Below are 25,351 nucleotides of genomic sequence, written 5' to 3' on the forward strand. Positions count from 1 at the left end.
TGACCAGCCTGCCTTGGCTTCCCAAAGTGCTGAGATTATAGGCATGAGCCACCATGCCCAGCCTGTTTACCATTTCTTTAAATTTCCATATCACTCTCAGGGAATTGTTTCATGGGCACCTCCCTGTTCTACAAACCCATTGCTGGGATATTTCACTCCTTGGGCCCTGGAAAACAAAAAGGCTCTTTCTTCAGAAGGTTGTAGGGAAAAGAGAATCTGTTGAAGTGAGATTTGCTAAATCTTTTGAGAGTATCTCCAATGGGATAGAGACTATTTTTTTTGTGGCAAATAATATGACCCTTATAGCCTTCTGCCACATCTATTTAAAAAAAAAAAAGGAGAGATAGAGAGATGTCATTTGCACAAGTTTACATACCACATCCCTTTAGAGCTACTCTCTAAATACAATTTAACTTCTTCAAACAGGTTTCTGTGACCATCCAAGTCTAGGTAAAGTCCCCATTATATGCATTTCTACAACACCTTGCCCTTCCCTCTCACATGGACAACAAGAATTATCACGTCCTTTCCCTCACTAGACCTCTGGGTCTTTGGCAGCAAGGACTGTGTCTGTTTAGTTCTATAGTTGTACGCCCAGCATTCATTCCAGGTCCCCACTCATAACAAGGCTCATAAAATGTTTGCTGGATCATGTAGTGATGGATGCTTGTAATCCAAGCTACTTGGGAGGCTGAGGCAGGAGGATCACTTGAACCTATGAGTTCTGGGCTATAGTGCACTATACCTGTTGGGTGTCTGCACTAAGTTTGACATCAATATGGTGACCTTCTGAAAGTAAAGAACCACTAGGTTGCCTAAGGAGGGGTGAACCAGCCCAGTTTGGAAATGAAGTAGGTCAAAACTTCTGTGCTGATCAATAGTGTGATTGTGCCTGTGAATAGCCACTGCTTTCCAGCCTGGGCAACATAATGAGACCCCATCCCTGAAAAAAAAAAAAATTGCTGGATGAACGAATGATTGATGATACACAAGAAAGGACAACTGTATTCTGGGAAGTATTGGAGCCTAGACAGTGAGGGGGCATTCGAGACGTGTGCATGCATAAACTTCCCAGGGGCATTAGATTTTACGGTGAAAGCCCAGAATAGTCCTTGGGAAACTGACTTTAGAAAAAGTCAGCTTTCGGCTGAGTGTGGTGGTTCATGCCTGTAATCTCAGCACTTTGGGAGGCTGAGGCCGCAGGATCACTTCATTCCAGGAGTTCAAGGCCAGCCTGGGCAACATAGTGAGACCTCATCTCTACAAAAAAGTATCGAAAAATGAGGCAGGAGGATTATCTAAGCCCAGGAAGTTGAGGCTGCAATGAGCTGTGATTGGGCCACTGCACCTGGGTGACAGAACAAATCCCTGCCTAAAAACAAAAGAGTCAGCTTTCTATCGGATTCAACATTCAGAAAGACCTCACTTACTCCTCTTCTTTTTTTTTTTTGTCAGAGTCTTGCTGTGATGCCCAGGCTGCTGGAGTGCAATGGTGTGATCTCTGCTCACTGCAACCTTTGATTCCTGGGTTCAAGAGATTCTCCTGCCTCAGCCTCCGAGTAGCTGGGACTACAGGCATGTGTCACCACACCCGGCTAATTTTTGTATTTTTAGCAGAGACAGGGTTTCACCATATTGGCCAGACTGGTCCTGAACTCCTGACCTCAAGTGATCTGCCTGCCTCGGGCTCCCAAAGTGCTGGGATCACAGGCGTGAGCCACCGCACCTGGCTTCTTACTCCTTTTAACAACTTGATGAGGTAGGTAGCTTTTCCTATCTTTATTTTACTGATAAGAAAATGGACCTCAGAGAAATTAAGCAACTGGTTCAAAGACATCCAGCTAGGAAGTAACTGGAGTCCGGAATCCTCAAATCCATCATCCTACCTCACCATCCTGCCTCTCACCCTTTGTAGAAATGAGAATAGGTTCAGTGGCAGACTAAGGACATAAACTAAATTGATCGGGACTTTGCCAGGCAAGTCACAGCCTGGCTTCTAGCACTAAATTTCTTCAGCGATTCAGAGATGAAAACAGATATGGACGTTTTACTTCACTTGATGAGCATGCTTGGAGGATTGCTATTTTAAAGTTTTTCAATATTCGCATCTTGCTGCACCTTTTCTGTCTGAAATCTCAAGGTATAAATAGGTTTATCTCGGCAATAAGTCAGAGGCAGAAAGTTCTGTATGGAGCCATGGCAGGTTCCCAAAGGAGGTTGGACCCCTGAGTTCTGTGCCAAAGAAAGAGTAAAGACTGTATCCTCTTCCTGAAATCCTCCTTTAAGGCTACTAAGGAAAAGGAGCTAAATTTTAAAAATAGCTATTATGTGTCATTGTGGTTGTTTCATTGATCTTGGATCCACTACTTGTTAGCTGCTTATCATCATGAAGCATCCGTGTATTCACATATAAAATAGAGTCAATGCCACCTTTCTCATAGGGTAGTGTGAGGATTAACTAGGAGAAGCATATGTAAAGAACTTTGTGGCCGGGCACGGTGGCTCATACCTGTAATCCCAGCACTTTGGGAAGCCAAGGCGGGCAGATCTCCTGAGGTCGGGAGTTCGAGACCAGCCTGACCAACATGGTGAAACCCCGTCTCTACTAAAAATACAAAATTAGCAGGGGGTGGTGGTGCATGCCTGTAATCCCAGCTACTCGGGACGCTGAGGCAGGAGAATCGCTTGAACCCAGGAGACGGAGGTTGCAGTGAGCTGTGATCACGCCATTGCACTCCAGCCTGGGCAACAAGAGCGAAATTCCATCTCAAAAAAAAAAACACAAAAAACAAAAACCAAAAACTTCGCGTAGCACTCAGCACATTAGAAGTATTCAACACTTGTTAGCTATTACTGTTATTATTATTCCTACTTAATCCATATACTAACCACCTCTTGAGGTAAACAGTATATTATTTCCTTTTAAGTAGGAAGAAATAGAGACTCTGGAAAGGGGATAATGACCCAGATTCACCAGCTAATAAAGCCAAGCTGCTAGAATTTAAATTAGTATCTGATTTCAAAGTTGTTATTTTTTTGTAAACAACAATATATTGGCTGGGTGCTGTGGCTCACACTTGTAATCTCAGCACTTTGGGAGGCAGAGGTAGGTGGATCCCCTTATGTCAGGAGTTCGGGACCAGCCTGGCCAACATGGTGAAACCCTGTCTCTACTAAAAATAAAAAAATTAGCCGGGCGTGGTGGCAGGCGCCTGTAATCCCAGATACTCAGGAGGCTGAGGCAGGAGAATTGCTTGAACTGGGGAAGTGGAGGTTGCAGCGAGCCGAGATTGTGCCATTGCACTCCAGCCTGGGTGACAAGGGTGAGACTCCATCTAAAAAAAAAAGAAAAAGCAAAACAAAAAACAACAATAGCAATATATTGTCTCCTTTAAGACGAAGGACAATAATGGAAAATGCTCAAGAATTCTTGATTTGGAAAGATGTAACAAAACAACGGTAAGTTTCCAGCTCAGAGTCTCTTGCTTAAATTTCTAGGAGACTTTTCTGGGGGACTTGCTTGGGCTGAGTCTCTGACTGCATTCTCCCATGGGGCACTCTGTCAACTGCAGTTGACAAATGGCATGTTCCAAACTCTCCTTGACCTGGCCAGAGCCTTTTCTCCTAGAGTTTAAAATCAATTATTGTTTCAGCTAAAATAGGTCTCTGAAAGTGTTTTAATTTTAAGTTTTCTCCTCTTATAATACAGGAGTGAAGAGTGAAAATATGATCTTATTACTTGTTTAATGTCTGATGCAGCCAAAGTATCTAACAAAGAATATGTATGTTTTAATCAAATAGAGAGTCTAGATATTATCAGGGTTGCCTTTGTTCTTTATTTTCAATTTTTTCCTCTTGTAAACAGCTCATCCAGTTTTTAGCTTTACATGTTAACAAAACAATAGATGCCATAATTGGGTATCCCATTACTGTTTGTAAAAGTGCTCTCACACACATGATTTACAAAAAAGTTGTGAGGTGTTTATTATAATTACCTTTTCACAAATGGAGAAACAATGCTCCAGGAAGTTAAGGGACTTCTTCAAGCCATTCAGCTGTATATTTAGAGCCAGAATCTAAGTCAGGTCTTTCTAGACCTTGGGTATGAGCATGGTCCTCAGAGCCACCTTCCTTCATTCCAACCTCAGCTTCATCCTTTACTAGAGCTAGGTGACCCTGTCTGCCTCAGTTTCCTCATCTGTGAAATAGAGATGACAATAGTATCTACCTTAATAGATTGTCTCAACAATTAACTGAGTTAATATGTTTAAAGTAGTGGAAGTATCTCCTGGTTATGACCTATATCAAGTCCTGGTCGTGACATAAGAAAAACTATTATTATTATGATTGCAAACTCTGATTTATTCCATTAAATTGTGTTATATGTATAGTATGTAGGCATGGAAATAGTACTTCACAAAGAGTAAGGGCTCTATGGATTAACGCAAATATTGAAGTATAGAAAAATGTTGACTCGGAATCTGAAGAAGAATAAAATTATTTTAAGAATACTTTTTGAATTAAAATTAAATACATCTGACACCTATAAGTTGACAAAATAGTAAACAAAGAAACAAATTAATGAAACGATGCTTTCACTGATTTAATGCAGCAGTGAGGTTGTTTTATTACTTTGCTTCGAAATCATACATTTCCAACTAAAAATGAATGTTAGAAATCAACTTTGCCATTTTGTAGTTCTGATTTTTTCTCTGTGGTCCCCAACCACATCCCACAGATTTACAAAATTCTTCCAGTCTTTCCTTACAGATAGACTGGCCCCTTTGCAAGTGAATCAATTTTTACACGTTGAGCCCATTTACAAATATCTCTGAAATTTAGTTATATTAAATTCCAGTGCATACATGTCTTGCCTTGTGAGTGTTATGTGTGATCTCACAGGAAATATTATCTCCGTATGAATTCAATTTGTAAGGTAAAGTAAGGAGCAAAATCTTATTTTATTAGTCTTGGGGAAACTAAGTTGCGTGCTGGATTCCAAGTTGTATTCCTAGGAAAAGATTCAAAATACGGTTACTCTAATTTTTGCATGGGTCATTTCCCAAAGTCCTATATTTTTCTCTTTCCTCCCCTCACCTCCCCTCCCCTTCCTTTGCTTCTTTCACAGGGTCTTGCCCTCTCTCCCAGGCTGGAGTGCAGTGGCACAATCTCGGCTCACTGCAGTTTCAGGCCGGGTGCTGTGGCTCATGCCTGTAATCCCAGCACTTTGGGAGGCCGAGGTGGGTGGATCACTTGAGGCCAGGAGTTTGAGACCAGCCTGGCCAACATGGTGAAACCCTGTCTCTACTGAAAATATGAAAATTAGCCAGCATGGCGGCTCATGCCTGTAGTCCCAGCTACTTGGGAGGCTGAGGCAGGAGAATGGCTTGAATCCTGGAGGCAGAGGTTGCAGTGAGTTGAGATCATGCCATTGCACTCCAGCCTGGGCAACAGAGTGAGACCGTCTCGGAAAAAAAGAAGAAGACGAGGAAGAAGAGGAAGAAGAGGAAGAAGAAGAGGAAGAAGAAGAAGAAGAAGAAGAAGAAGAAGAAGAAGAAGAAGAAGAAGAAGAAGAAGAAGAAGAAGAAGAAGAAATCTGAATGTCTTTACTCAGGGTTATATAGTCATTATAAACAGAAGCTCTATAACCAGACTATTTAAAGTCCCAGGTTTGTACTTCAATTTTGAAATCTATGAAATGGGAGTAATAATAGTTTTTACAAAGGTTAAATGAGTTTATATATCTAAAAAATTTCTAACAGTACCTGGCATGTGGCAAGAGCTCAATATTTAGCTTTTCTTCTTCTATTGATTATTCTGGATATTTGGTATAAATGGAATTATACACTACATGGCCTTCTGTATCTGACTTGTTTCACTTAGCATAATGTTTTCCAGGTTCATCCATGTTGTAGCATGTATCAGTACTTCATCCCTTTTTATGGTTGAATAATATTCTACGATATGGATATATCACATTTTGTTTACATATTCATCAACTGATGGACATTTGGGTTGTTTCCACCGTGTCGCTATTTTCAAAATAGAGTTGCTATGAACATTGGTATACAAGTTTTTGTTTTCAATTATTTTGGATATATACTCAGGAGTAGAATTTCTGGATCATATAGTAAATCTATGTTTAACTTATTGAGGAACCATCAAACTATTTTTCACATTGGTTGCATCATTTTATATATATATTTTGTGATGGAGTCTCACTCTGTCACCCAGGCTGGAGTGCAGTGGTGCGATCTCGGCTCACTGCAACCTCTGCCTTCTGTATTCAAGCAATTCTCCTGCCTCAACCTCCCGAGTAGATGGGATTACAGATGCGTGCCACCATGCCTGGCTAATTTTTTTTGTATTTTTAGTGGAGACGGGGTTTCTCCATGTTAGTCACACAATCTCCTGACCTCGATCCCTGAGCTTGTGATCCACCTGCCTCAGCCTCCCAAAGTGCTGGGATTACAGGCGTGAGCCACCGCGCCCGGCTGGTATTTTAAAATGTTTTATTGATCAGAATCTGAGGTACAAAGCTTTGAGAGAACCTATTCAAGGTCACACAGGGGTAAGTGGTAGAGACATCAACTGAACCCAACCTACTCCAGAGTTGCGTATTCTTAACTCCATCCCAGGACAGAGGTTATTTTGTTTTATTTTCATTTCTTTCATTTAAGATTGTGCCGGGGGAAAAAAGCTCAAAACAGTAAAAAAAAAAAAAAAAAAAAAAAAAAAAAGTTATTTTTTTAACCATGTATTTTACCTTTCTATTCCCAAACGTTTTGTACTATTTTCTAATTATACCTGAAAGAAAAAATTGCCAATTTGCATATACTTAGCTTAGTGTTTATGAGTCGGGCAGACTTGGGTGATCCTAAAATTTGGTACATGTATAACTGTTTTTAGCCTCAGTTTCTTTTTCTACCTTTTAGTTATTTACTAATTCTTGACAGCTTCTCTTGGATGTCTAATATGCATCTCCATCCAAAACAGAGCTTTTTTTTTTTTTTTTTTTTTTTTTAGACGCAGTGTTGCTCTTTGCCCAGGTGGAGTACAGTGGAGCCATCTCAGCTCACTGCAACCTCTGCCTCCCGGGTTCAAGCAATTCTCCTGCCTCAGCCTCCCCAGTAGCTGGGATTATAGGCACTCGCCACCACACCTAGCTAATTTTTGTATTTTTAGTAGACACGGGGTTTCACCATGTTGACCAGTCTGGCCTCAAACTCCTGACCTCAGGTGATCCACCCTCCTCAGACTCCCAAAGTGCTGGGATTACAGGCATGAGCCACCACGCCCGGCCCAAGGCTCTTAATTCTAGTCGCTACCTCTCCTCCAGCCCACTACACAAAACCTGGTCCCAAAGGCTCCCTCACCAATTTAATTCATACCACCAATGTCCCAAAACATCAGGGGTTATTCGGTTTTTCTTTCTTTCTTTCTTTCTTTCTTTCTTTCTTTCTTTCTTTCTTTCTTTCTTTCTTTCTTTCTTCTTTTTTTGAGACAAGGTCCTGCTCTGTCACCCAGGCTGAAGTACAGTCGCACAATCATAGCTCACTGCAGTCTCAAACTCCTGGGCTCAAGTGAACCTCCCACCTCAGCCTCCTAAGTACCTGGGACTGCAGGGGCATGGGATTTTATTTTTTTAGAGACGAGTTCTTGCCATGTTGCTCAGTCTGGTCTCAAACTTCTGGGCTCAAGTTATCCTCCTGCCTTGGCCACCCAAAATGCTGGGATTACAGGAGTGAGCCACCACGCCCGGCTCAGGGTAGTTCTTACTACTTCATTTCCCTTATCTCCCCCTAGCTCCACACACATTTAATCCATCACCCAGGGCTTTTAATTTGACCTTCAGATGACATCTCTCATCTATCTACTTCTCTCTATCCTCACCTTTGCCCTCCTACCTGCAAGCAATCATCACCTCTGGCTTACAATTCTAGAATAATCCCTTCATCTGTTCCCTGATCTTCTCTCTTGCTCTTCTTTAATCCACTCTCTACAAGGACAATTGTACATTTCTTAACATTGTAATTGGATCCAATCCACTGCCTTATTTAAAACCCTTGAAGGGCTAATACTGCTCAGAGTAAAAGCTAAACTCCTTACTGTATCCTAGTGAGGTCCTATAGCCTGGGGCCCATTTTCCCAACTTGATTTATACTGCTCAGCCCTGCTCACTCTGCTCCAGCCATATTGGTCTTTTTTTTCTTTTCCTTGAACAAGTCAGTCCCGTTCTGCACTTCTCATCTTTCAAATCTCAGCTCAAGTGTCATCTTCTCAGGGAATCTTCCTGACCTCCCTGTCTAGGCTGGTCTCTGCAGACAGACTCTTCCTCATCGGTCTGTTCAGATTTTTTTCCTAGCAATAATCTACACATGTAATTATCTTGTTTGTTTATTTGCTTGCTTTGGTTTATTACTCTGTTTTATGTCTCCTACATTGCAATGTAAGTTCTATGATGGCTGTGACCTTCTTTATCTTAGTCACCACTAACTAGATCCTGAGAGTTTGGAGCATGTGTTTCCCAAGAAATGAATGAATAAATAAATGAGTAAACAAAAGAATGTCTTAACTCATAATACTGACATAGCTGGGCACCATGGCTCACGCCTGTAATCCCAGCACTTTGGGAGGCCGAGGCGGGTGGATCACAAGGTCAGGAGTCCGAGACCAGCGGGGCCAAGATGGTGAAACCCCGTGAAATATGTATATAAGTATAGATATAAAGTAAGAGACATATGTAGATAAGAGAGTAATTATATCTGGAAAAATTAAAAAAAGGAGGAATGTCAGAGAAAATACAAAAAGGAAGTGACCTGAGCTGAGCTTTGAAGGATGAAAGCACCAGTTACACATGGAGGAAGAGGCATTCCAGGGCAGAGGTGACAGAGTGAACCAGGGCATGGAGTATTATTCATGGAGTAAAAAGTTTCATAATGTGTCTGAAGAGTAGCAAGCAGTTGAGCATGGCTGGGGCTTAGGGTGACTTGGAGAGTGGGGCTGAAGATGAGGCCAAGAGTGTAGGCTGGACTCAGTTACAAAGGGCTTTACAAGTTCAGCAAAGAGTTTGGAATTTGTTGTATAAGGTGAGAGTTTTTAGGCAGAAGAGAGACATCTTCATTTTAGAAAGATCTCTCTGCCGGGCGCAGTGGCTCACTCCTGTAATCTCAGCACTTTGGGAGGCTGAGGCAGGTGGATCAAGAGGTCAGGAGTTCGAGATCAATCTGGTCAACATAGTGAAACCCCGTCTCTACTAAAAATACACAAAAAATTAGCCCGGCATGGTGGTATGTGCCTGTAATCCCAGCTACTCGGGAGGCTGAGGCAGGAGAATCGCGTGAACCCAGGAGGCGGGGGTTGCAGTGAGCCGAGATCACGCCACTGCACTCCAGCCTGGGTGACAGAACGAGACTCCATCTCAAAAAAAAGATAAAAAAAAGAAAGATCTCTCTAACAGCACAGTGATGGCCTAACAGCAGAGTTAGGGTTAGGGATAGGATTAGGGTTAGAGTGATGGCCGTGCTTGGAGACAGGAATTTCAGTTAGGAGAAGTTCAGTTAGAAAATATGACAAAAGGCAGGGTGAGGAGACATGAGGTAAATTTCAGGGATAGAATCCATAGGACTTTGTCCTATTAGATATATTTAATGAGGGAAAAAGAAAAATTAAAGAAGGGTATGTCTGTAGAGTTTTTAAGTTTTTTTGTGTTTTTTAATTGATATAGTTGTACATATTTTGGGGGTACCTATGATACTTTGATACCTGTATACAAATCAGGGCACTTGGGATATCCACCAACTCAAACATTCTTTTCTCTTTTTTTTTTTTTTTGAGATGGAGTCTCGCTCTGTCGCCCAGGCTGGAGTACAGTGGCGCAATCTCGGCTCACTGGAAGCTCCGCCTCCTGGGTTCACGCCATTCTCCTGCCTCAGCCTCCTGAGTGGCTGGGATTACAGGCGCCCACCACCACACTGGCTAATTTTTCTGTTTTTAGTAGAGATGGGGTTTCACCGTGTTAGCCAGGATGGTCTCGATCTCCTGACCTTGTGATCCACCCACCTCGGCCTCCCGAAGTGCTGGGATTACAGGCGTGAGCCACCGCGCCCGGCCAACCCTACAGCACCCGGTATTCCCAGGCGGTCTCCCATGCAAGTGCTAACCAGGCCCGACACTGCTTAGCTTCCGAGATCAGACGAGATCGGGCGCGTTCAGGGTGGTATGGCCGTAGACTATTTTTTCTATGTGTTGGGAACATTGCAAATTTTCTCTTCTAGCCATTTTGAAATATACAATAAATGATGATGATGATGATGATGATGTTGATGATGATGATTTTGAAACAAGGTCTCACTCTGTTGCCCAGACTGGAGTGCAATGGTGTAATCATAGGTTACTGTAACCTCTAGTTCCTGGGCTCAAGCAATCCTCCTGCCACAGCCTTTAGAGTAGCTGGGACTATAGGTGTGTACCACCACACACTGCTGATTTAAAATTTTTTCTGTATAGGTTGGGAACGGGGGGGTCTTACTATGTTGCCTAAGTTGGTCTAAACCTGGGCTAAAGTGACCCTCCTGCTTTGGCCTCCAAAAGTGCTGGGATTACAGGTATGAGCCACCATCCCCAGCCATCCAGATCTTTAAAAAAACTTTCTAGCCAGGTGTGGTAGCATGTGCCTGTAGTGCCAGCTACTCAGAGGCTGAGGCAGGAGGATTGCTTGAGCCCCAAAGCTGGGGAAGTCATGGTGAGCTATGATCACATTACTACACTCTAGTCTGAGCAACAGAGTGAGAACCCTGTCTCCTAAAAAATAAATAAATAAATAAATAAGAATAAAAGTAAAAAATTTCCTAATCCTCAGCTGATTTATACTTTTGTAAAAACAAAGAAAGAAGTACATTATTAGAAATGTGATATTTTGAAAAGACGTCTAACTTTTAAATTATGATATACAAAAATATTCTGTGGGTTGCTATAAATGACTCTAAAGACCTACTCTCAATTTCTACACCTATGGCTAACCAGTAACAATCAGTTCACAAAGCAACACTGCTTCCAGATCTCACTTTGAGGTGCTCTGGTACACACAACTGTGAAAGACAAGTGGGATCTGAGTTTACAGGAGTGTTGAGAGTAAACAATGTTGAGATTAGCTTTGTTGGACTGCCACAGAGAATGGTGCAGCCTGTGCAGTTTACCTGTTACTATTTTAATCTCTCATAAAGGTGTTATTTGCTCTGCTCTCTCTATCGCATGGGAGGCCTTACTGTTGTGACTGCGCTGGAAGGGCCTCCTTAGAAATCTTCATAAAGAAATCGTTTCCAATAAGCTCCACGAGAACAGTTAGTGGCCATCCAGAATTTTAATCCCTAGGTTATTGGATACATTTCATACAGAGATTGGCAGTTTGGCAGCCTTCTCAGTTCAATATTTCTGCTTGCCAAGAGAAAGAAAGTTGTGACCCCTTGCTTTCTCATTCTATCCTTCTGCAAGGAAGTAAAAAAGATCTCAAATACAGCTTGCTGTATTAGCATTGAAGGGAAAGAGCTAATATGCACTTACACAATCCAATTTATACTCACATCATCTACTGAAGGAAACAGCAGAGTGACATTTGCGCCTAATCCTTCCATGGGGTTGTGACTAAGACTGCAAACAGCAGAAGGAAAGCATGTAGTTGCCTGGTACGTGGAGGCAAATGAAAGTTTCTTGATCAGAAAAGGGGTACCCGTAATAGGAGGAATATGTTTTAGTTTTTTTGTTTTTGAGATGGAGTCTTGCTCTGTCGCCCAGGCTGGAGCACAGTGGCGCAACCTCAGCTCACTGCAACCTCTGCCTCCCAGGTTCAAGTGATTCTCCTGCCTTAGCTTCCCGAGTAGCTGGGATTACAGGCACCCGCCACCACGCCCAGCTAATTTTTGTATTTTTTAGTAGAGACGGGGTTTCACCAGTTTGGTCAGGCTGGTCTGGAACTCTTGACCTTAGGTGACCCACCCGCCTCAGCCTCCCAAAGTGCTGGGATTACAGGCATGAGCCACCGCGCCTGGCCTGTTTTTTTTTTTTTTAAGGACCTTTGAGCTCTGTAATCCTCAAATGGAAACGCAATGAACAACCTAATTAATGACAAAGCTGGGATGTGAGGAATAGAGCCACATGCTCTAGGGGAGATGTAGGATAATGAGAGGTAAAAGAGAAGAGAGTTGGGGGGCAGAAAGTCACACGGGCTAAGACCAAGTGGACATGGCAGAATAGGGTTGTGCTTATTTTACACAAGTGACCGAGGCTTCTCTGCTGGCATCCTGTCACATCACATACGTGGTATTTCCTTGTTCCTTATTCAGATGCAAAAGGGGGAGGACAGTGGCTTTTTGAAAAGCAGACGTAAGCGCAGCAACTCACCAGAGTGGTGTCCTTACTCTGCGTTTGGCCACTTCAAGTCTGAACTGCCACTGTCTTCTCTTTGCTGATCTCTTGAAAACCAGTTTTTTTTTTTTTTGAGATGGAGACTTGCTCTGTCGCCCAGGCTGGAGTGCACGATCTCAGCTCACTGCAAGCTCCGCCTCCAGGGTTTAAGCGATTCTCCTGCCTCAGCCTCCTGAGTAGCTGGGATTACAGGCGCCCGCCAGCACACCCAGTTAATTGTTGTGTCTTTAGTGGAGACCACCATGTTGGCCAGCTGGTTTTGAACTCCTGACTTCAAGTGATCCACCCACCTTGGCCTCCCATAGTGCTGGGATTACAGGCATGAGCCACTGCTGCCAGCCAAAAACCCGTATGTTTTAATGACAGATTGATAACATTCTGGGGGCAAGGATTAATATTGGGACTTTTTTTTTTTTTTTTGAGACTGAGTCTCACTCTGTCGCCCAGGTTGGAGTGCAGTGGCGCGATCTTGGCTCACTGCAACCGCCACTTCCCAGGTTCAAGTGGTTCTCCTGCCTCAGCCTCCTGAGTACCTGAAATTACAGGCGCCCGCCACCACGCCAGGTAATTTTTGTATTTTAGTAGAGACAAGGTTTCACCATGTTAGCCAGGCTGGTCTTGAACTCCCGACTTCAAGTGATCCACCCGCCTCAGCCTCCCAAAGTGCTGGGATTACAGGCCTGAACCACTGCGCCCAGTGGGGCTTTTTTCTTGGTATCACCATCAGTGTTCATTTGAGTTCTAGTATTTGAGTGCTTTTTGTTTAAACCCAAGGTAGCGGTGATTCACCAACTATTTTGACTGGAAGAACTCTAAAGGGACTCTTTTTATTTGCTTGTCTTTGCCTTCACCACTCCCAGGCATACTGAAATGGATCACCTTAAGTTTCTTGATCCTCCACAATCTACTCCTTCTAACGCAAGACCTCTCTCATAAACACACCCCTTTCCCCCACTCCACCTACCTGGTTATCAAAGACAGAAACGTAAGAGACAATGTGGACTACTTCGTTTTTTTCTTTCTTTTTTCTTTTTTCTTTTTTTTAATGAGATGGAGTCTTGCTCTGTCACGCAGGCTGGAGCACAGTGGTGCGATCTCGGCTCACTGCAACCTCCACCTCTTGGGTTCTCGCCATACTCCTGCCTCAGCCTCCCGAGTAGATGGGACTACAGGCGCCTGCCACCATGCCCGGCTAATTTTTTTGTATTTTTAGTAGAGACGGGGTTTCACCGTGTTAGCCAGGATGGTCTTGATCTCCTGACCTCGTGATCTGCTAGCCTCGGCCTGCCAAAGTGTTGGGATTACAGACGTGAGCCACTGCGCCCGACCTTGCTTTTTTTCATTTCTGCCTCCATCCCCATGTTCAATCAATCATAGTCCTATCAATTTTAGCCTTTAAATATTTTCTACTGTCACTGCCTAATTTCTTTCCCTCATTATCTCTTGCAGGGACACTTCCTGTCCCCATCCATCTCACAGTTCTTTTCTATACCTATTTTTCCAATTTTTTTTTTTCTGTCGCCCAGGCTGGAGTGCAATGGCGCAATCTTGGCTCACTGCAACCTCCACCTCTCAGGTTCAAGCGATTCTCCTCCTCAGCCTCCTGAGTAGCTGGGATTACAGGCATGAGTCACCATACCTGGCTAATTTTTTTGTATTTTTAGTAGAGACGGGGTTTCACCATGTTGGCCAAGGTAATCTCGAACTTCTGAACTCAGGTGATCCACTCACCTCGGCCTCCCAAAGTGCTGGGATTACAGGTGTGAGCCACCGTGCCCGGCCTCCAAAAGTTTTTGAAAGAATAAATTGGTGTTGAATTTTGTCATAAGAATTTTCTGTATCCATTGATATAATCATGTGATTTTTTAGCCTGTTAATATGGTGGGTTATATTAATTAGTTTCTAAATTTTTATATTTTTAAATTTTTTTGAGATAGAGTCTCTGTCTGTTGTCCAGGCTGCAGTGCAGTGACACAATCATAAGTCACTCCCGGCTTGATCTCCAGGGCTAAAGTTATCCTCCGACTTCAGTCTCTTGATTAGCTAGGACTACAGGCACATGCCATCATGCCCAGCCAATTTTTTCGATTTCTAGTAAAGACAAAGTCTCATTATGTTGCTTAGGCTGGTGTTGAACTCTTGAGCTCAAGTGATCCTTATGCCTCAGCCTCACAAAATGTTGGGATTACAGGTGTGAGCCTCCGTGCCCAGGCAATTTTTAAACACTGTATCAGCCTTGCATGCCTGAAATAAATCTCACTTGGTCATGGGTCATTTGTATAATTCTTTTTATATATTACATTTACATTATATTACTTTTTTTTTTTTTTTTGAGATGGAGTCTCGCTCTGTCTCTCAGGCTGGAGTGCAGTGGTGCGACCTCGGCTCACTGCAACCTCCGCTCCTTGGTTCAAGCATTCTCCTACCTCAGGCTCCCAAGTAGCTGGGATTACAGGCACATATCACCACACTCAGCTAATTTTTGTATTTTTAGTAGAGACAGAGTGTCACCATGTTGGCCAGGCTGGGCTCGAACTCCTGACCTCAGGTGACCCACCTGCCTCGGCTTCTCAAAGTGTTCGGATTACAGGCATGAGCCACTGTGCCAGGCCTATATTACTTTTATATATTACTGAATTCTGTTTGTTAACAAAATTTGTTAATTCTATTTGCTAATATAATTAATTAAATAATTTACTTGTTTTAAAATTTCTATGTCTACCTTCGTAAAGAATCTGGATCTGGCCCGGCGCAGTGGCTCATGCCTATAATCCCAGCACTTTGGGAAGCCAAGGCAGGCTGATCACCTGAGGTCGGGAGTTTGAGACCAGCCTGACCAACATGGAAAAACCCCATCTCTAATTAAAATACAAAATTAGCCAGGCGTGGTGATGCATGTCTGTAATCCCAGCTACTCAGGAGGCTGAGGCAGGAGAATCGCTTGAACCCAGGAGGCAGAGGTTGTGGTGAGCCAAGATCGCACCTTTGCACTTCAGCTTGGGCAACAAGAGCAAAACTCTGTCTCAAAAAAAAAAAAAAAAAAAAAGAATCTGGATCTGTAGTGGGGTTTTTTTGTACAATTTTGTCTGGTTTTGATATTATTTTACTTCATGAAATGAATTGGAAATCTCTCCCCTGCCCTGACACACCCCTTCTATATTTTGGAAGAAATTGTGCAAAATTTATGTTAATTCTCCTTTAAACCCTTGGGAGAATTCTCCAGTGAAAACTTCTGGGCATGGTGATTTCTTTTTGAGAAGTTTTAAAATTATAAATTCAATTTGTTAATAGCTTTGGGACTATTTAAATTATCTATTCATTTTTGGTGAGTACTTTGTGTTATTTGAGGGCCTGGCACATTACGTTTAAGTTGTTAAATTTATGCATATGTAGTTGTTTTAGTATTCTATTATCCTTTTGTTGTCTGTGGGGTCTAGAGTGATAGTCAATGTTTTATCTCTAATATTGGTAATTTGAATCTTGCCTTGTCACTGAGGCTGGAGGGCAGTGGCACAATTATAGCTCACTGCAGCCTTGAACTCCTGGGCTCAAGCAATCCTCCCACCTAAGCCTCCTGAGTAGCTGGGAATACAGGCATGTTCCACTATGCCCAGATAAGTTATTTAAAATTTAAAAATGTTTTTAGAAATGGGGTCTGGGTATATTGCCCAGGCTTCTTTGTCAGTCTTGGCAGAGGTTTGTCAATTTTGTTGATCTCGTCAAAGAACCATCTTTTTGTTTCATTGATTTTTCTCTATCATTTTTTCTTTTCAATTTTACTGATTTCTCCTCTTACCTCGTTATTTTGCTGTTTCTGATTGCTTTGTGTTTATTATGCTCTTCTTTTCCTAGGTTTTAAAGTGGTAGCTTAGGTTGTTTTTTATTTTTAGTGGGGAGCTTAGATCTGTATTTGAGACTCCCTCTTTTCTAATGTATGCATTTAATGCTATAAATTTCCCTTTTAGTATTGCTTTAGGTAGGTCCCACAAGTCTTAGTATATTTTTCATTTTCATCCAGTTCAATTTATTTTTTGGTTTCCTTTGAGACTTTATCTTTGACTCATGGATTACTTAGAAGTGTATTGTGTAGTTTCCAAGAGTTTGAAGATTTTCCTGTGATCCTTTTGTTATTGATTTGTAATTTGATTATGTTTTGGTTGGAGAACATACTTTGTATGATTTCAATTCTCTTAAATGTGTTGAGGTTTGTTTCAAGGCCCAGGATATGGTTTACCTTGGTATATGTTTTATGGGCATGTAAAAATAATTTGTATTCTTGCCAGGCATGATGGCTCACACCTTTTATCCCAGCACTTTGGGAGACCAAGGTGGGAGGATTGCTTGAGTCTAGGAGTTTGAGGTTAGCCTGGGCAACATAGTGGGGACTATGTCTCTACTTCTATTAAAAAATATATATGTATAATATATATATTTATTTACATATATAGATATATATATCTCTTGCAGGGATATATATATTTATATATATAAATATATATATAATATGTAAATAAATATATATTATACATATAAATATATATAATATGTAAATAAATATATATTTTATATATATATATATATAGAGAGAGAGAGAGGCCTAGTGTGGTTGCTCACGCTTGTAATCCCAGCACTTTGGGAGGCTGTGGGCAGATCACGAGGTCAGGAGATCGAGACCATCTTGGCCAACATGGTGAAGCACCATCTCTACTAAAAATACAAAAAGTTAGCTGGCCGTGGTGGTGCACACCTGTAATCCCAGCTATTCAGGAGGCTGAGGCAGGAGAATCACTTGAATCCAGGAGATGGAGGTTGCAGTGAGCCAAGACTGCGCCACTGCATTCTAGCCTGGTGACAGAGCAAGATTCCCTCTTAAAAAAAGTAAATAAATAAAAATAAAAAATATAAATAAATAAAAGGAAAAAGAAGAAAATGTATTGTGCTATCGTTGGGTGAAGTGGTCTATGTCAATTAGATCTTGCTGGCTAATGGTATTGGTGAGGTCTTCTATATGCGTGCTGATTTTCAGTCTATTGTTCTATCATTCATTGAGAGAGTGGTGTTGAAATCTCCTATTATAATTATGAATTTGTCTATTGCTCCTTTCAGTTCTATCAGTTTTGTTTTACATATTTTCCAGCTTTGTTGTTTGGTGCACACATATTAATAGTTAGAATTGCTATCTGTTCTTGATTGACCCTTTTATTATTATATTGTACTTCTCTGTCTCTAGTATCCTCTTTGCTCTGAAGTCTACTTTATCTAATATTAATATAACTATTCTGGCTTTCCTTTGCTTCACATTTGCATGGTATATCTTTTCCACCCTTTTACTTTCAATCTGCCTGTATCATTAGACTTGAAGTGAGTTTCTTGTAGACAGCATATAGTTAGATTTTGCTTTTAATCCACCCTGCCAATCTCCATTTTATTTTCTTTAAAAACATTTTTTTTTAAACAACAACAAAAAATAGATGCAGAGTCTCACTATGTTGGCCAGGGTGGTCTTGAACTCCTGGCCTCAAGCAGTCCTCCCACTTTGGCCTCCCAAAATGCTCGGATTACAGGCATGAGCCGCTATGCCTGGCCCCAATCTCTGTTTTCTAACTGGTGTATTTAAAGCATTTACATTTAATGTATTTATTTATATATAATGGCACTTAATTTATATATAATGGCACTATGTTTTTTTTTTTCCTGTTTTTCATTACCTGCTTTCTGTTTTCTGCCTTCCTATGGATTATTTGAATATTTTTAGAATTCCATTTTGATTTAGCTATAGTGTTTCTGAGTGTATCTGTTTCTATAGCTTTTTAAAATGCTGGCCATATATAACATAATTTAGAAAATTCAAGAGGAAAATAAAAGCCTATTGATTTTACCCATATTTTTGGTTATTATGTTCTTCCTTCCTTCTTGATATCCCAAGATTTCTTCTTTTTTAATGCTTTTTCTGTTTATTTATTAACTGTAGATAAAGGCTAGTCTCAAACTCCTGGCTTCAAGCAATCTTTCTACCTTGGCCTTCCAAAGCACTGGGATTACAAGTGTGAGCCACCATGCCCAACCTTCCTTTCTGTTTAGAGGACTTTCATTAGATACCTTTATATTTTTTTGGAGACAGGGTCTTGCTCTGCTGCCCAGGCTGGAGTACAGTGGCACAATCATGGCTCCCCATAGCCTCAGCCTCCTGGGCTCAAGTGATTTTCCTGTCACAGCCTCCAAAGTAGCTGGAACTACAGGTGCACAACACCATGCCCAGATAATTTTTTTTTTTTTTTTTTTTTTTTTTGTGACAGAGTCTTGCTTTGTCCCCCAGGCCAGAGTGCAGTGGCACAATCTCAGCTCACTGCAAGCTCTGCCTCCCAGGTTCATGCCATTCTCCTGCCTCAGCCTCCCGAGTAGCTGGGACTACAGGCACCCACCACCACGCCCAGCTAATTTTTTGTATTTTTAGTAGAGATGGGGTTTCACCGTGTTAGCCAGGATGGTCTTGATCTCCTGATCTGGTGATCCATCCTCCTCGGCCTCCCAAAGTGCTGGGATTACAGGCATGAGCTACCACACCCTGCCATGCCCAGATAATTTTTAAATTTTTTTTGTAAGGCTGGTCATGGTGGCTCACGCCTGTAAACCCAACACTTTGGGAGGCTGAGGCAGGTGGATCACTTGAGGTCAGAAATTCAAGACCAGCCTGGCAAACATGGTGAAACCCCATTTCTACTAAAAATATACAAAAATTAGCTGGGTGTGGTGGCAGATGCCTGTAATCCCAGCTCCTTGGGAGGCTGAGGCAGGAGGATCACTTGAACCCAGGAGATGGAGGTTGCAGTGAGCCAAGATCACACCACTGTACTCCAGCCTGGGTGACAGAGTATCTGTCTCAAAAATACGTATATGTAAATATATATGTATATATTTATGTGTCCATATATGTATTTATATATTTATTTATTGTAGAGATGGAGTCTCGCTATGTCACCCAGGCTGGTCTTGAATTCCTGAGCTCAAGTTATCCTCCCATCTCAACCTCTCAAAGTGTTGGGATTACAGGCAGGAGCCACCAAAACTGGCCAGATCTTCTTTAAAGTAGATCTGCTAACAATAAATTCTCATAGTTTACCTTCTTCTGAGAATATTTTGATTTCTTCATTTCTGAAGAATATTTTTCACCAAGTATAGGGTTCTGGTATTTTTTTTTTCCAGTCTCAAGGCAGGAAAAAATCTTTCCCTGCTCAAAGACAGTCAGCTTTATTTACTATTTTAAATGATAAAATTAAATAGTATAGGGTTCTATATTGACAATTATTTTCTCTTGGTACCTAAAAAATATTGAGTCACTTTTTCTGGTCTGCATGGTTTCTAATGAGAAATCTGCTGTCATTCTGATGCTTTTTATTTATAAGTAAGGTATTATTTTTTCTCTAGATGCTATAAAGGTGTTTTTCAGTGGGGCTTACACCTGTAACCCCAGTATTCTGGGAGGCTGAGGCAAAAGGGTCACTTGAGTTCAGTAGTTTGACACTAGCCTGGGCAACATAGTGAGACCCTGTCTCCACAAAAAATTTAAAAAGTAGCTGGACATGGTGGTGCATGCCTGTAATCCCAGCTACTCAAGAGGCTGAGGTGGGAGGATCACTTGAGCCCGGGAGATTGATGCTTATGGTTTGCTCAGCTTGTTGAGCCCTTACGTTTATGTCTGCTTTCAAATTAGGGACTTTTTAGCCCTGCCCTCTTCCTGCCCGCCTTCTGAGATTTCAGTGACACAAATAGTAGACATTTTGGTGTAGTACCAAAGATCCCTGAGGGTCTGTCTCTTTTTTTTGGTCTATTTTTTTTTTTTCTCTTTACTGTTCAGACTGGGTAATTCTTGTTGGTCTATCTTTCAGCTTAGTGATGATTTCACCTGTCCCTCTCATTCTGCTGTTATGTCCATTCTCTAGGTTTTTTACTTTGGTTTTTGTATTTTAAAGTACTAAAATGTTTCTTTCACTCTTTTATCGTTTTGTTTGTTTGTTTGTGTTTTTTTTTGCTCAGGCTTGCTTTCTTTTATTTGTTTTTGTTTGAAGCATGTTTGTAGTTGTTGCTCACTGAAGCTTTTATTTATTTATTTATTTATTTATTTCGAGATTGAGTCTCACTCTGTTGCCCAGGCTGGAATGCAATGGCGCGATCTCGATTCACTACAACCTCCGCTTCTTGGGTTCAAGCGATTCTCCTGCCTCAGCTTCCTGAGTTGCTGGGATTACAGGTGTGCACACCACGCCCAGCTAATTTTTGTATTTTTAGTAGAGATGGGGTTTCGGCATGTTGGCCAGGCTGGTCTCAAATTCCTGAGCTCAGGTGATCTGCCCACCTAGGTGTCCCAAAGTGCTGGGATTACAGGGGTGAGCCACTGCGCCCGGCCTCACTGAAGCATCTTTACCGTGGCTGCTTTAAAATCTTTGTCTCTGTTACCTTGTAGACATAATTCTAATGTCTCTGTTATCTTGGAATTGGAATCTACGGATTGTCTTTTTTTCTTTTGAAATCTTCCTGGTTCCTGAGGAGATGAGTGATTTTTCATTGAAAATCAGATATTTTCATATTATGTTTTGAAACTCTGCATCTTATTTAAAAATTCTGTTTTAGTTGGCTTTCTCTGACATCTCTCTTGCTAGGGAAGGAAGAGCGCCACCTCATCATTGCCATCTTGACACAGAAATACAGCTTAACTATTAAGCTTCTGTTTATACCTGAGATGGGGGTGCTCCTTGTTACTAATAAAAAGGAAGTTCCAGCTCCCGGCATGTCTCCACTGACACTGCAGTGGCCTTGTTACCACTGGTGCTGGTGACATCATGACTGTCCACTAGGCTCCCCTCGACCCTATTCAGTGGCGATGGGAAGGAATGCATATTACTGCCAGGAGGGGGTAAAAGTCTAGAATCCTTAGATATCTCTACTGAAAACTGGAGTGGGAGTAGAGTCACGTTACTGGCCAGTAGGGATGACAATCCTAGCTCTCTGTTTGGCCTTCTCTGACACCATCCCAGTGTGGGTGCTGTGTCACTTCCCACAGCCTCACAAGGGTGAAATTCTAGGTCCCTACTTGGCCTTTGCTGGCCTGTGTGGAGGTGGTGCCATAGTTTTTCTGTGGTGTTTGGCTGCGGTGAAGCAGTTATTATCTAAAACTTCTCTGTTTTCCTAGGCTGCCCCTTTCCTGGTTCTTCGGCAAGAGAGAGCAGGTTTTTGTTGGGGTGGTTTTGTCTGCACTTATTAGCATTTCTGGGTTGCCAGCTCGCTCAGCTCTGAGTCTGAGATATATGAGGCAAAAAGAAAACCCAGGAAATTCACTACTGTGTTTTCCTTTGGGCCCCAAGTTTTCTTTTCTTTTCTTTTCTTTTTTTTTTTTTTTTTTTTTGAGACGGAGTCTGGCTCTGTTGCCCAGGCTGGAGTGCAGTGGCAAGATGTTGGCTCACGGCAAGCTGCACCTCCTAGGTTCACACCATTCTCCTGCCTCCGCCTCCCGAGTAGCTGGGACCACAGGCACGGACCACCACGCCCAGCTAATTTTTTGTATTTTTAGTAGAGACAGGGTTTCACTGTGTTAACCAGGATGGTCTCCATCTCCTGACCTCGTGATCCACCCACCTTGGCCTCCCAAAGTGCTGGGATTACAGGCCTGAGCCACCGCGCCCGGCGGGCCCCAGGTTTTCTAGCCGGCATGGCTTTTCTCTTCATCTTTCTGAGCTAAGCCTTGATATATGTGTGTGTGTGTGTGTGTGTGTGTGTGTATATTTCTTATCAATATATTTTACATATAATATCAATGTAAATATATATGTAATATCTACATATATCTATACATTAGATATATCTATATATTATATATAGATATATTTATATATAAAATGTCCAAAGTTTTTCATTGTACTTAGCAGGAGTAATAAGAAAAAGTAAGTCTATTTCATTTCTCAGAAGTGGGAAATTTTATTTTTTAAAAGATTTGACATTTTGTCAATAAAAATAATTCAGTATAAAGGGGAAACATTACAACACAGAATGGTGAGACAGAAAGCAAGGTCCTTGAGTTGGTGAGATGACACATGGAGGGGCTGGTTCTCTGATAGAATCAGGGACACCTCTTTCATTGGCACAAAAGGGAAGGTAGAGGGACGTATATTGCAGACAGGTCTAGAGAGTCAGGGTTGAGTAGACGAGGGGATTCTTCTACAATAGACCAGTGCTGTTCAATAGAAATTTCTGAGATGGTGAAAATGTCCTATATCTACACAGTCCAGTATGATAGTAAGGGGAGATGTGGCTGTTTAACATTTGCAATGCGGTTAGTGCAACTCAGGCACTGAATTTTTAATTTAAATTAATTTAAATTTAAATAGCTACATGTGGCTAGTAGCTACCATTGGACAGTATAGCTCTAGATGAAAGATGAGGTAGATTCATTGGTTGAAAGTGAAGCTGAGAGGTGAGAATGTAGGGATAAGTTGGAGGTTACAGAAGAGATGAAAAGATGTAAGACAGTCCTCTTGATGTGTGATCATGACTGGTCAACACAGTGGTGTGATTTTCTCCAGCAAATACAGTTGCAGAAAAATCATATTATAAAAACATTGGCTGGGTGCGGTGGCTCATGCCTGTCATCCCAGCACTTTGGGAGGCTGAGGCAGGTAGATTGCTTGAGCCCAGGAGTTCGAGACCCTGTCTCTACAAAAAATACAAAAATTAGCTGCATGTGCACTTCTAGTCCCAGCTTCTTAGGAAACCGGGGTGGGAGGATCGCTTGAGCCTCGGAGGCAGAGGTTGCAGTGAGTTGAGATCAGCCACTGCACTGCAGCCTGGGTGACAGAGTGAGACTGTCTCAAAAAAAAATAAATAAAATCCCTCCCCCCCACCACATACACATTTTGACACCAGAGTTGAACAAACCCCCATTCTCCTCTAGTTTTCCAGGGAGGAAACAGATGGCCATGAAAATAAATAACTGAAGTTACTGGCCCAAGGTGACTACTACCTGGCATAACCAGGTCCTTAAGTGTTTCATTCCCTCAAATTAGTACCCTTTCCTTCATTTTTCTGCCTCCTCTTGCACCCTCTATTTGAATAATTTAATACCTATGGGCAAATGTTTTAGTACTCTCTAAAATCAGACCTGGAATCCAGACTGATCTCAGGAAAGGTGTGACCTCCAATATTACTTATGTATAAAATATGAGCAAATATTTTGCCGCCTTTTGTATTTAATCATTTTTCTTTGGCTTCTTTTGTCCCCTATGCAGTCTCAATACCTTCACAGAGGTGAAGAAGCAGCAACCAAATGAATTAGACAGCAACATGATTCCTAGAGAATGGCAAGACCAATTCTTCAACTACTTCTTCAGCATTTCTGAAACATATGGAAGATGGCCCATTGTGCTCTCTTAATTCTTTGATAATCTGGACATTGACTTTTCCATTATATGACCTGGGCTTGTGGGCATCATGTCATAATGCACCTGTTCAGACATCTCCCTGTACCAATATGGATCACTTGAAGAGACTCCTTTGCCCCCATCAAAAAGGATACAGTTGTGTATCTCTTCCATTTTTGTTTACAGTGCCTAAAATTATTTGAGCAGTTTTTCACCTCTTCTCTGATAAACACCTTATTAGTCCTTAAAAAGAAAAGAAAAAAGGAAAATAAAACTTTTATTGAGATCCTAACATGTGGCAAATGCAATCATATAAATAATTTATTTATTCAACAAATAGTATATGCACAACCCAATGAAATAAATGAAGGATACATAGATGATGAGGACAAAGTTCATGCTTAAAAGAAGCTCTTAGTCTACTGAGAGAGACAGATAATGTCTAAGGATAAATTGCAGCATAAATAAATCCAACCCTGGGAGGTAACTATTTTTATTCTTGTTTTACAGATTCAGAAACAGGCCACTAAAGGTTAAGTGATGAATTCATGATCACACAGCCAGACACAGGATTTCAACTCAGATTCAAATACCGCCAGAACACCTCCCATTGGGGAAAAAAACCTGCCAGTAAACTACATTTAAAATTTTATTTTGAATGTCAAGCTTAAAAGGTAAGATATAATTAACATATATCACTAAAACATTTTTTTAATGCTCTGAAATATTACCAGGAAAAGTCATCAACTTTGATTCTATCTTTTTTTTTTTTTTTTTTTTGAGATGGAGTTTCACTCTGTTGCCCAGGCTGGCATGCAATGGCACAATCTTGGCTTACTGCAACCTCCACCTCCTGGGTTCAAGCGATTCTCCTGCCTCAGCCTCCCGAGTAGCTGGGATTACAGGCATGTGCCACCACGCCTTGCTATATTGTTTTTTTTTTTTTTTTTTTTTTTTTTGAGACAGAGTCTCGCTCTGTTGCCCAGGCTGGAGTGCAATTGCAAGGTCTTGGCTCATTGCAACCTCTGCTTCCCGGGTTCAAGCGATTCTCCTGCCTCAGCCTCCCAAGTAGCTGGGACTACAGGTGCATGCCACCATGCCTGGCTAATTTTTTTGTATTTTTAGTAGTGATGGGCTTTCACCATATTGGCCAGGCTGTTCTTGAACTCCTTACCTCAAATGATCTGCCCGCCTCGGCCTCCCAAAGTGCTGGGATTACAAGCGTGAGCCACTGTGCCTTGCCGACTCTATCAATCTTTAAAAGACATAGAAATGTAGTCTTGGAAAATGAGCCCTGGAACTGAATCAAGGACAAAGTCACTGAAAATAACTCCTGGCTTCTTGACATTCTAGCTGTGTGAACATGGACTTGTAACTTAATGTCCTCTAAACTTCAGATTTCACATACTTAAGGTGAAGATAAATAATACTTATTTCCCTGGGTGAGGATTATACAAGATATGTCTAGGGATGCAGTAGACATACATTCAATGTCAGCTGACTTTGAATCAAGCAGTGTC

General features: G+C 41.7%; 2 pseudogenes, besides 1 other annotated feature; one reads left to right on the plus strand and one right to left on the minus strand.

Annotated features, from left to right (window-relative positions):
- RN7SL703P (RNA, 7SL, cytoplasmic 703, pseudogene) lies at positions 644 to 945 on the plus strand (annotated as a pseudogene).
- Positions 7,468 to 7,967: an enhancer, noted in NCBI's record as "H3K4me1 hESC enhancer chr3:181538013-181538512 (GRCh37/hg19 assembly coordinates)". NCBI's record gives its function as "activates a minimal SCP1, AML or CMV promoter by ChIP-STARR-seq in primed H9 embryonic stem cells {active_cell/tissue: H9 hESC(primed)}" and the evidence as "EXISTENCE:reporter gene assay evidence [ECO:0000049][PMID:30033119]".
- Positions 10,115 to 10,233, minus strand: RNA5SP150 (RNA, 5S ribosomal pseudogene 150; annotated as a pseudogene).

The sequence above is a fragment of the Homo sapiens genome, chromosome 3 (assembly GCF_000001405.40).
Source record: "Homo sapiens chromosome 3, GRCh38.p14 Primary Assembly".
Lineage (NCBI taxonomy): Eukaryota > Metazoa > Chordata > Mammalia > Primates > Hominidae > Homo > Homo sapiens.